This window comes from Homo sapiens, chromosome 13 (genome assembly GCF_000001405.40).
Source record: "Homo sapiens chromosome 13, GRCh38.p14 Primary Assembly".
NCBI lineage: Eukaryota > Metazoa > Chordata > Mammalia > Primates > Hominidae > Homo > Homo sapiens.
The window spans coordinates 36852970-36865510 of NC_000013.11; the positions used below are offsets into that span (position 1 = coordinate 36852970).

General features: G+C 44.4%; 1 protein-coding gene across 20 annotated transcripts in view; it reads right to left on the bottom strand.

Moving 5' to 3' along the window:
- SMAD9 (SMAD family member 9) overlaps positions 1 to 12541 on the bottom strand; it is a 76024-nt gene that overhangs the window by 8139 nt on the left and 55344 nt on the right. For all 20 annotated transcript variants that reach the window (XM_006719827.4, XM_047430366.1, XM_005266404.4 and 17 more), the window contains one exon: positions 450 to 706. In XM_006719827.4, the coding sequence (XP_006719890.1) occupies positions 450 to 706 (257 nt within the window). The remainder of the gene's footprint in view (positions 1 to 449; positions 707 to 12541) is intronic.

Below are 12541 nucleotides of genomic sequence, written 5' to 3' on the forward strand. Positions count from 1 at the left end.
CCTAAAAACAATAGAATTCAAAAAAATTGGTTTTGGGCTGGGCGCGGTGGCTCACGCCTGTAATCCCAGCACTTTGGGAGGCCAAGATGGGAGGATCACAAGGTCAGGAGTTCAAGACCACTCTGGCCAATATGGTGAAACCCTGTCTCTACTAAAAATACAGAAATCAGCCAAGCGTGGTGGTGCGTGCCTGTAGTCCCAGCTACCCGGGAGGCTGAGGTAGGAAAATCGCTTGAACCCGGGAGGCAGAGGTTGCAGTGAGCCAAGATCATGCCACTGCACTCCAGCCTGTGTGACAGAGTGAAACTCCGTCTCAAAAAATAATAATAATAATAAATTGGTTTTGTCTATCAGAATTGACCGCACAACTGCCTGCCACATCAGTCAGGGTGCTTTTTTGTTTTGTTTTTCACTGAACATTTTATAACGTGATAGCAAGCACTCCTTACCTTAACAAAACTCATCCGGATAGTACACATCTTGGTCAGTTCATACACGACTTCAAAGCCGTGGTGAACTGACTGGGCCAGGAGCTGAGCGAAGAGCTGGTTGTTGAAGACCTTGAGGCTGCAGCCGCTGGGGATCTTGCAGACGGTAGCTGGGTGGAAGCCGTGTTGATAGTTGCAGTTCCGGCTCTGCACAAAGATGCTGCTGTCACTCACGCACTCGGCATACACCTCTCCCCCGACGTAGTACAAGTGCACACCTGCAGACACAAAAACACAGCCTTCCTTCACATGCCCTTTCATAGCGTGCCTCTCCCACTGATTCCTGAAACCCTAGGAGATGTGACTCTCCCATCAGGTTGTCAGATCACTGATCAGATGAATGAGATGTGTGACCTAAATGCCGCTTAGTTTAATGATAATCTGTGCTTTTTCCACAAATCCATTTAAAAGTGGATCGCAGCTGGGTGCGGTGGCTCACGCCTGTAATCCCAGCACTTTGGAAGCCCGACGTGGGCAGATCATTTGAGGTCGGGAGTTCAAGACTAGCCTGGCCAACACAGTGAAACCCCTTCTCTACTAAAAATACAAAAATTAACCAGGCATGGTGGTGGGCACCTGTAATCCCAGCTACTCGGGAGGCTCAGGCAGGAGAATTGCTTGAACCTGGGAGGCAGAGGTTGCAGTGAGCCAAGGTAGCGCCACTGAACTCCAGCCTGGGTGACAGAGCAAGATGTCATCTCAAAAAAATAAATAAATAAAAATAAAAAAATAAAAGTGGATTGCAACCCATGTTAACAATCACTCCCAAGAACCAGTCAGTAAGGTCTCATATACTATTCCTCCCATCATTCCTGTTTATTTGTTCCAAAAATAAGGTTTTATAATATTAGAAATGAAGTGAATATATCACACAAAAAAATCAAGTAATCCTTCATTGTACATACACAAATTTTATTTTTTTTTTTTTGAGACGGAGTCTCGCTCTGTCGCCTAGGCTGGAGTGCAGTGGCACGATTTCAGCTCACTGCAACCTCTGCCTCCCGGGCTCAGGTGATTCTCCTGTCTCAGCCTCCTGAGTAGCTAGGATTACAGGTGCCCGCCAACACAGCTGGCTAATTTTTGTTTTTTAGTAGAGACGGGGTTTCACCATGTTGGCCAGGCCAGGCTAGTCTCAAACTCCCAACCTCAAGTAATCCACCCGCCTCGGCCTCCCAAAGTGCTGGGATTACAGGCATGAGCCACTGCACCCAGCCCACAAATTTTAAAATTTAAAACTGGACACAGTTAATATCATGAAAATGTAACTTAAGTGCACATATTAAACCTACCTCAGAGGAAACAATAAAAGACACTTAAAAAATTTACCAATACTTATAAATCTGTTTCTCTTAACAAATACCTCAGAGATCTATTTCAATTAAATTTGTCATCCACTAATATAAATCATATAAATAATGTCTATTTTGATTTGTGAAGTGAAATTTCTACATTTTCAGATACAGTAATATAAAAACTCATAAGCAAAATATAGCCTACATCACTTTATCTAATATTCTTGGAATTAAAGTTCAAAAGAGCATCTTGAGGCTGGGTGCTCACACCTGCAATCCCAGCACTTTAGGAGGTCAAGGTAGGTGAATCACTTGAGATCAGGAGCTCAAGTCTGGCCTGGCCAACATGGTGAAACCCTGTCTCTACTAAAAAATACAAAAATTAAGTGGACATGGGGACACACGCTTGTAATCCCAGCTACTTGGGAGGCGGAGGCTGCAGTGAGCGAAGATCACGCCACTACTGCACTCCAGACTGGGCGACTGAGTGAGAGTCCATCTCAAAAAAAAAAAAAAAAAAAAAAAAGAAAAGCATCCTGAGAATGTTGCTGCTCATGCTAATTTCCATTCCAAATTAAATTTTAGTTGATCCTTTCCCTCTAAATGTCTGGGTTTGAGATTTAATATAAATGTATAGCGAGGGACTGATGTTAGAAAAAAATGAAGAAATTCTAGTCTAGTGAATATTAAATATCAGAACAATTTTACTCCCACTTTTGATGGGGAAAAAAAAGTCTCCAGCACTAGAAGTCAATGTGATTATACATATGATCACTATGCAGTTATAAGGTGTTTGTAGAAACAATCCAGAATATACTTATATATTTGGGGTCTAATTGTGAAACTTTTAAAGAACAGAACTCACAGCTTCCAGGGCTGCTCAGGGCCTCGTGTGCATGACTCTGAATCTAGGAAACGTTACTGACATAGCTGCTGGGAGTTTCTTTGTCAGGTCCTAAGTAGCACTTGAGGCAGTTCTGCATTATATGTGATTACATCCCACCATATTTATTGTTTCCTTTTCCCTTAATAAAATTTTAGAAAAGAACAATTTTGAGTAGTATGTATCCCAACCACATCACTCTGAAGAAACTGAGCCAGGGTCGCACAGCTAAAGCACAGCCCTGGATATCCAGTCCACGACTGTCCTGTCACTGCCTCTCCTCTTCCTCAGTCAGAGACTGGCTCCCCTTCTCCGCTTCCCTCAGCCTTCCTCTCCCTCCTCTATCTCATCGCTGTTACCCACTCTCCTGAATGGCCTTGGGCCCTAACCCCAGGGCCTAGGTGGTGGTGCCAGGGGGCAGAAGGATGGTCCTAACTGGCTGGGAGAGTTACTTGGCTGGACCCTCACGATCATAAAGAGAACCCCAGGCCAGGGCAAAATGCAAACACCGCCTCTTACAACAACCCCTGTGGGCTCCAAAGGGGAAAGACCTGCCTTGTGAGGGTGGGCGGAGGTTTTTTCAAGAGGGAAAGCAGGTGAAGGGGCCAGAGTGGAGCTGCTAAGGATTTAGTCGGTATGTGAATTGAATGACCTTCAAATATGTAATCCTCTCAAAACCTATTACATAAGATAAATACGATTTTTTTGTTATCTGAGTCTGTTATCTATCTTCAGGGGTTGGTTTTCAATCCTGTTCAGGTCATCTGCAACCACAGTCCACTTTGGCAAAGCTACCAATGCAGAGAAGAGCCTGGGCAGGTAGGCAGTCGTCCAGCATCCAGAGAGAGAAGAGCAGAGCCAATGGGACCAGCATGCGGAGCCCGCCCAGAAACACCAGAAAAGGGTGGAACCCAGCCTCAGGGTGAGGGAGGCCAGATTCTGGCTAGAGACACCAGCATCTGAGGAGGAGTCAAGTAGGCCAACAATGTTATTTGCATCCATTTGGTAGGCCAGAATAGTAGCTTTAAACGCCAGTGTCAGATTCAAGATCACCACAGAGTAGAGCAGTGGTTCTTAAACCTTAGCTTGCACTAAGACCACTTGCAGGGCTTATTAAAACAGATCACTACTTCAGCAGGTCCAGGGTGAGGCCGGGTGACCTGCACTTTTTTTTTTTTTTTTTTTTGAGATGGAGTTACCCTCTTGTCACCCAGGCTGGAGATGGGGTGGCGCGATCTCGGCTCACTGCAACCTCTGCCTCCCGGGTTCAAGCGATTCTCCTGCATCAGCCTCCCGAGTAGCTGGGATTACAGGCGCCTGCCACCACACCTGGCTAATTTTTTGTCTTTTTAGTAGAGATGGTGTTTTGCCATGTTGGGCAGGCTGGTCTCGAACTCCTGACCTCAGGTGATCCACCTGCCTCGGCCTCCCAAAGTGCTGAGATTACAGGCATGAGCCACCATGCCTAGCCAGTGATATTCCTTTAAAACGGTACAGGAAAAGCATGAACATGTGCAGATTTTACTGCAGCCTACATTCTGACAGTTCTGTATGAAATGCTTAAAAGAGACATCACACCTGTTAGTTGCAATCAAATATGCCATTAATATGTTCATTATTGTAATTTAGTAGCATTAGAAGTGGAAGGAAAAGCTAGTGTTACAATCCTGCAGCCTGTTCTAACTCCTAGCAATAAGGAATAAATGCCCCAAAGGAAGTACTGCCTGAGATCATAAAGAGAACACTGGCAATGCAGCCCTCAAGCAAGTTCCACCCACATCTTGGGCTCTGTATCTGCTTGGGCTGTGTCTTTCTTTATCTGAACTTTCCATTTGTGTGTGACTGCCACCCACTTTTTATGAGATCATGGAGTGTGGAGTCCTGTGTTGTGGTTAATGAGGACTAGAAGAACCTTGGGTTTAATTTGGGTTTGCTGGGTGGAACTACAATAGTGTGTCCCCTTTCAATCCTCTTCTTTTGCCTTGAATGACAGGAAATGACTGGGAAGAGGGCAGGTTGGGCAGGCTGGTGAGAGTGTGCCAATCTCTGGAACCTACTAACAGAGGAAGAAGTCAGTGTCCCAAAGTAGAAGGAAGGTGCAGGGATACCCTCCTTACTGGGAGGGAGGCAAAAAGATCACCATAAAAGGCAGAGTGTCCTGCACAGAAGATGCAGAAGCCTCTCCACTCCTCTTAGGACAAAACCTAAACGTCCCAACACAAGCACAACGCCTCCTCTCGAGTTTGTAATTAATCTTCCCCTTGCCTTTGTTGCCTTTTCTTCTGCACAGCTATTTTAGAAGCTTTAAGAAAATATATATATTTCTGAGTGTAATAATGGTATTATTTCTTATATAGTTAGATATAAACTCCAATAGATGGGAAAAAGGATATGAAGCATGAGATTTGCTCTAAAATATTCTAGCAAAAATACTGTAGAGCGATAGATGAAAAAGAACGGCACAGAATGTGAATCTTTATTGAAGCCGGAGATACTAAGATGAAGACTCATTATATTCCCCTCTCTGTTTTCCTATTTGAAATTTCCCACAATAAAAAAGTTTTAATGGGTGGTAAAAAAAAATACTAATAATATAAAAATACATTTTTCCAGATCCACACCAGGGCCTAGGTCAGAGGATGGAGGCAGGTCTTCCAGAGGACTGTGCCTACCGTTGTGCACTGCACAACCACTGCAAACCAGGGTTTGCCTCCTAGTCTTCAGAGCTTTGTGTAATTATTACAATCCTTTCCCAGCAGATGGCAGTAATTTCTCTTGAGGAAGAGGCACCTTTTCCTAACTCACACAAAGTCACCTCTGGGCTGATAGCAAGGCTGGTCCTCCAAGACTGCCCCTGATGACCAAGTTTCTCAGGACAACATGATAAACAAGCTTGTTTGGGTCCAACTGTACTACACGGCATGTCCCATACTGTCACTCAAACACGCAGCCACTCTGCCTGGGCTGCACTGTGAGGTGTCTCCCTTACCACTGCTGCTGCCTTCCAGAGCACCCTTACACACCATGCCCACCCCATCCTCACAGGATCAAGAAAGCCCACTATAGAAAATTTAGAAAATACAGACAGAAAAGAAAAATCAGCCACAAATCCACAGCCCAGAAATAATCAAAGCTAACATCTATTAGTTATTAGCTATTAACATTTTTCAGTCTTTTTTATGTGTTTTTGAGACAGTCTCCTGCCTAGTTGGGGCTACAGATGCACGCCGCCATACTCAGCTAACTTTTTGGTATTTTTTGTAGTGACAGGGTCTCACCATGTTGCCCACCTGGTCATGAACTCCTACGCTCAAGCAATCCACCCACCTCGACCTCCCAAAGTGCTGGGATTACAGGTGTGAGCCACCATGCTCAGCCATGTGCATTTTTAAGAAGAAAATTGGGATCATACTCTACAGGATGTTTTAAAACTTGTTTTCAGTTAATAATATCTTGTGAACATTTTCTCAGGATATTAAGTATTCTGCAACATCAAGTTTAATGACTGTAACAGTGTGACATTGCATCCTATGTTAAAATATTTTTTAGGATTTGCTTTTTTTAAGATGAGAAGCCTTACATGTGTTCAGAGGCAGAACAAAAGGACTATTTTGAGACAGGGAAGTGAAATCCATTGGGAAAGGAAGCAACCCAAATACCACCTGGACATGCAGACCCTCTGCCCAAGGAGTTTGAAACAGAGTGACTCCGTCTTGAGTAGAAGCTGGGTAAAATAAGGCTAAGACCTACTGGGCTGCATTCCCAGACGGGTAGGCATTCTAAGTCATAGGATGAGATAGGTTGGCACAAGATACAGGTCATAAACACCTTGCTGATGAAACAGGCTGCAATAAAGAAGCTGGCCAAAACCAAGATGGCGATGAGAGTAACCTCTGGTCATTCTCACTACTACACTCCCACCAGTGCCATGACAATTTACAAATGCCATGGCGAACATGGTAACATCAGGAAGTTACCCTATATGGTCTAAAAAGGGGAGGCATGAATAATCTACCCACTGTTTAGCATATAATCAGGAAATAACCAGCCAGGCACGGTGGCTCACGCCTGAAATCCCAGCACTTTGGGAAGCCGAGGCGGGTGGATTGCCGGAGGTCGGGAGTTTGAGACCAGCCTGAGCAATGTGGAGAAACCCCATCTCTACTAAAAATACAAAATTAGGAGGGCATGGTGGCACATGCCTGTAATCTCAGCTACTCAGGAGGCTGAGGCAGGAGAATCGCTTGAACCCGGGAGGCAGAGGTTGAGGCGAGCCGAGATTGTGCCATTGCACTCCAGCCTGGGCAACAAGAGCGAAACTCCATCTCAAAAAAAAAAAGAAAAAAGAAAAAAAAGAAATAACCATAAAAATAGGCAACCAGTAGCCCTGGTGGCTGCTTTGTCCATGGAGCAGCCATTCTTTATTCCTTTCCTTTCTTAATAAACTTGCCCTCACTTTACTCTATGGATTTGCCTTAAATTCTTTCTTGTGAGAGATCTAAGAACCTTCTTTTGGGGTCTGGGTCAGGACCGCTTTCCGGTAACATCTCTGCAAGGAGCTGACTGGTGAAATCCTTATGTCAAGATAATTCCTTTCATAAAACAAGAAGAATTACTAGAATTATACAGAACTTGAGATATACAAGAAAATAAAGATTCATAAAATGGTTTAAAAAAAGCCCAATTCCAAAAACAATGCAATGATTTGGAATATGTGATAATTATTTTCAGGATACGCTTGATCTATCTCAGAAAGTTCAATAACCAGGGTTAATGGTTATCACTTATTTTCTCCCACAAAGGGAGAAATTTTTTTACCTTTTTTTTTTTTTTTTGAGATGGAGTCTCGCTCTGTCGCCCAGGCTGGAGTGCAGTGGCACCAACTCGGCTCACTGCAAGCTCTGCCTCCTGGGTTCACGCCACTCTTCTGCCTCAGCCTCCCGAGTAGCTGGGACTACAGGTGCCTGCCACCACGCCCGGCTAATTTTTTTTTGTATTTTTTAGTAGAGACGGGGTTTCAGTGTGTTAGCCAGGAGGGTCTCGATCTCCTGACCTCATGATCCACCCGCCTCGTCCTCCCAAAGTGCTGGGATTACAGGCATGAGCCACCACGCCCGGCCACCAGCGTGTCTCTTAGATATTAGGTAATCAGTGGGGGTAGCTATCATCATCATCATATTATTATTATTTGATATGTCATTGTAGAGAGTTCAAGTGGTCTGCCTAGTTTCTAAGGAAGAATATGGATAGATCCCACACTGGAATGAGATGTTCCAGGCTGCCCAAGGTATTGCCTTTGACATTTAAGTGGTAGCTTTTGGTGTGCTAGTGCTAACTGTTAGTAGCTATTTAAAGCATCTTGCTAGTGAGGTCAAAGTCATAAGTTCAGTCCCTTTGTACCAGTTAACTGCTGCATGGCTACAAATAAATGCTTTCTACCAGCCCCTCTACCTCAGGGACATACCCACTAGATGGTAAGTGGGGTAAATGAGGACCCATCATCACCACTAGAGAAAACAAAACTCAAAATGCACGCAGTGCTGACAGGGTGGCAACATGACCTTCCTTTAGCAGGGCCAGCCATTTAGCTAATTTAAGTCACAAGGAATAAAAGCCAGAAATGGTGTGAAGGCTAATTGATATCTACTGGGTAGGGGAATGGCTCATCATTAACTATAATAAAAAGAATTTTTTTTTTTTGAGATGGAGCCTTGCACTATTGCCCAGGCTGGAGTGCAATGGCACAGTCTTGGCTCACTGCAACCTCCACCTCCTGGGTTCAAGTGATTCTCCTGCCTCAGCCTCCTGCGTAGCTGGTATTACAGGCACCCGCCACCACACCCGGCTAATTTTTTGTATTTTTAGTAGAGACAGAGTTTCACTATGTTGGCCAGGCTGGTCTCGAACTCCCGACCTCAGGTGACCTGCCTGCCTTGGCCTCCCAAATTGCTGGGATTACAGGCATGAGCCACTGCGTCTGGTCACTAAAAAGAATTTTTAAAAATGATATATTCAGGCCAGGTGGGGTGGCTTACACCTGTAATCCCAGCACTTTGGGAGGCCAAGGCAGGGGATCACCCGAGGTCAGGAGTTCGAGACCAGCCTGGCCAACATGAAGAAACCCTTTCTCTACTAAAAATACAAAAATTAGCTGGGTGTGGTGGTGTGCGCCTGTAATCTCAGCTACTCAGGAGGCTGAGACAGGAGAATCGCTTGAACCCTGGAGGCAGAGGTTGCAGTAAGCTGAGATCGTTTCATTGTACTCCAGCCTGGGTGACAGAGCAAGACTCCCGTCTCAAAAAAAAAAAAAAATCTTCCATCCTTGCCCATCACCGTCTAATTAATCTCAATAGAACAGCCAGGCAATCTTTTCGAAAGTGTAAAGTCAGATCATATTGTAAACCAAAAATAAAACTGGAAGGCCCCGCAACAATTTGAATGGACCCCCTCTCCTCAGCCAGGGAGCTCTAAAATTTAACCTGACAGACTGGTTCAGGCTCCACGAACACTGACTTCCTTGCTCTCTGTGTCACAGCCATTTGAACCAGAGCAACTCCATCTTGAATAGGGGCTGAGTAAAATAAGGTGGAGACCTACTGGGCTGCATTCCCAGGATGCTAGGAATTCTTAGTCACAGGATGACATAGGAGGTTGGCACGAGATACAGGTCACAAAGACCCTGCTGGTAAAACAGAGTGCCATAAAGAAGCCAGCCAAAACCCACCCAAACCAAGATGGCATTAAAGTGACCTCTAGTCATCCTCACTGCTCATTATATGCTAATTATAATGCATCAGCATGCTAAAAGACACTCCCACTAGCACCATGACAGTTTACAGATTCCATGGCCGTGCCCAGGTTACCCTATATAGTCTAAAAAGGAAATGAACCCTCAGCTCCAGGAAATCTCCACCCCTTTCCCAGAAAACTCATGAAAAAGGAAAAAGTCCACCCTTTGTTTAGCATATAATCAAGAAATAACTACATTATCAGTCGAACAGCCCATGCTGCTGCTCTGCCTGTGGAGTAGCCATTCTTTTGTTTCTTTACCTCTCTAATAAACTTGCTTTCAGTTTACTCTATGGACTCACCCCAAATTCTTTCTTGTGTGAGTTCCAAGAATCTTCTCTTGGGGTCTGAATCGGGACACCTTTCTGGTAACATCTTCTCAAATGTCACTTTTCCAGGAAGGCCTTCCCTGGTTACGCTGGTTTAAAGTCTCCATTCTCTTCCCCTGCTTTGTGTTTCTCTATTGGACATACTGTATGTTGTATTTCGTGTCTGTCTTTCCCCAGCAGCAAGCAATCCAGGAAGCCTGCTCATGGTCTTTCTTCCACTGTTGCATCCCTCGTGTCCAGTCTGGCTGAGAGGCGATGCTCAGTAAGTACTCGTGAGATGAATGCATATTACTAAAACCTAATGTCTGTTAACTAACTCCACAGAGCAAGTTAACTCATTTGCTAGCCGAGGAATGCATTTTGCAGATAACTTACTCAGGCTGGTGCTCCTGGAAGCCATGCTGCTCAGAACCAGATAACCCATGGCAGCATCTGAGAGAGAATCCTGTGATCTCACAGAAGACTGACTGCCCTTGCTTTAAAATCTCCCAAGCCAACACTTTTTTCCACCCACACGCTTTATGGCAAGGCTTGTGGCATGTCCAAAAAAAAATTTTTTTCCACATTGGAGTAATTTCTAAGCAGCTCTGAGAAAACTGTAACTTTGTCTTCGGACCATGTGACAGTGAGTACCCTTGCATCGAGGGGAGCACTATTAGGTGCTCCAGTTTGCAGAACAGGTCATCAGTCCCAGCTCTTGCTCATGTGGCTTCTTAACCCTAAAGACGAGCTCTCAGTCAACAACACAGGAGCTACTGATATAATTGGGATATTTGACTCCTCCAAATCTCATATCGAAATCTGATTCTCAATATTGGAGGTGGGGCTTGGTGGGAGGTATCTGGGTCACACAGAAGGATCTCTCATGATCTGCTTGGTGCCCTCCTTGAGGTAATGAGTGGATTCTCACTCTATTAGTTCCTGCCAGATCAGTTTGTTAAAAAGAGACCAGCACCTCCCTCCCTTCTCTTTCTGTCTCTTCCCAGGTGACACACAGGCTCTCCTTTGCCTTACACAGTGATTTTCAGAAGCTTCCTAAAGCCCTCACCAGAAGCACATGCCAGTACAGCCTGCAGACCCATGGGCCAAATAAACCTCTTTTTTTAATAAATTACCCAGTCTCAGGTATTCCTTTATAGCAGTGAAACAGACTACCACACACTCTCCATGTCCTCAGCAGGAGCACCTTGAAGAAGCGACTTGCAGACAGGTTCCTAGAACACATTCAGCACTCCTTTAATACTTTAATCCTGTCTTTGGATCCACTGGCACCAGCAGAAATTGAACATGCAGACCAATCTGCAAAGCTCCTCAGCAAACTGCTTCACAACATTATGTGTTAATGTTTTGCCTTGAGAGTTCACTGAAGGTTCTTCTAAAAATCATTTGAAAGTAAAGCCATGCTCAAGAAACTTGTTTAGGAATTAATTCAAAGATTATTTCCTTTGAGGAATGGCTATTTTCCCCCTTTGGGATAAAAATTACATTCCAGAGTGAGTTTTTCATTTCTTCCCTCCTTGTCAGGAAACCTAGAGTAAAATCACCACCATCTTCTCCAGCTCTCTGTGTCAGAGACGTTTGAACCAGAGCAACTCCATCTTGAATAGGGGTTAGGTAAAATAAGGTTGAGACCTACAGGGCTGCATTCCCAGGAGGTCAGGCATTCTCTCATCCAAGTACTAACCAGGCCCGACCCTGCTTAGTTTGGTTAACAATGCTAACCCTTATGGATGACATATCTGGATTCTTCTCCCCTCCCCTCGACCCGTTTCTGATTTTCTATTTTTCATTTATCATTTCACTGCAATGGTTTCTCGTAAGTGGCCTCAAAGCCACTATGGAGACAGAATATAAATAAACATAAAGTAACTGTCTCCATTAAGAGTCAACATCAATGAATGATTTCAACCTGTTTCTAAACAATGGCTTTTAGGTTTACTCCAACAGGAGACATTTTGAAGGTATGTTAGGAAGAATATTAGAATGCATCACCAAATGGAACAATGAATCTCCCCTGGAAATTTGAAAGAAAAGGCTCAGGCTCCCTTCCCGAGGTGGCTTAAGTGCTGGATGGAGAGAGAAAAGGTCAAATGACTGAAGGTTCTTCACATCTATGACTCCATGGTATCAATCGAAGATACCAACTATTCCAATAGAAAAGAAAATAATTTAAAGATCCTCAGCCAGACCACACACTCAGCTGGGATTTGCTACCATCACTCAGACCAATGAGATGGGCTTCAAAAGCATCACTGGTCAGAAAAGAGACCAGTATGACTTGTACCCAATCAGCCTGCACACAGGAGAGCCCCAATCACATGCCAAAGGCTTCCAGACATAAATCAGTCATTCTTTCTAACTACCTAGCTGCTAAGTCTCCAAAGGGAACTTCACCTGATACAAATAATCATCTAGTCAGAATTCCTGTTCTTCAGAAATGATCCTAGTTTGTAAGTTTTAGGGAAATGAAAAATAATGCATAACACTTCTATTTAATAATTTCATCCGGCTTTCTTCATATTTATCATCTTGCTTGTCTTCACAATCCCCACTCCATGCCACCCCTAGAAAGTGGCATGATGACATTAGAGGAAGAGGGACTAAGATCCTGACAACCTATGTGCTTTCCCCAGTGGTAATGTCAGAGCTATCTCAGAGCTCACCAGCCCTGGGGTCCTTCCACAGGGGCACATGACCAACATGTGAGGGTGGTCACGTGCACTTCTACACACATGACCATCTACATTTCGGCTAGATGAC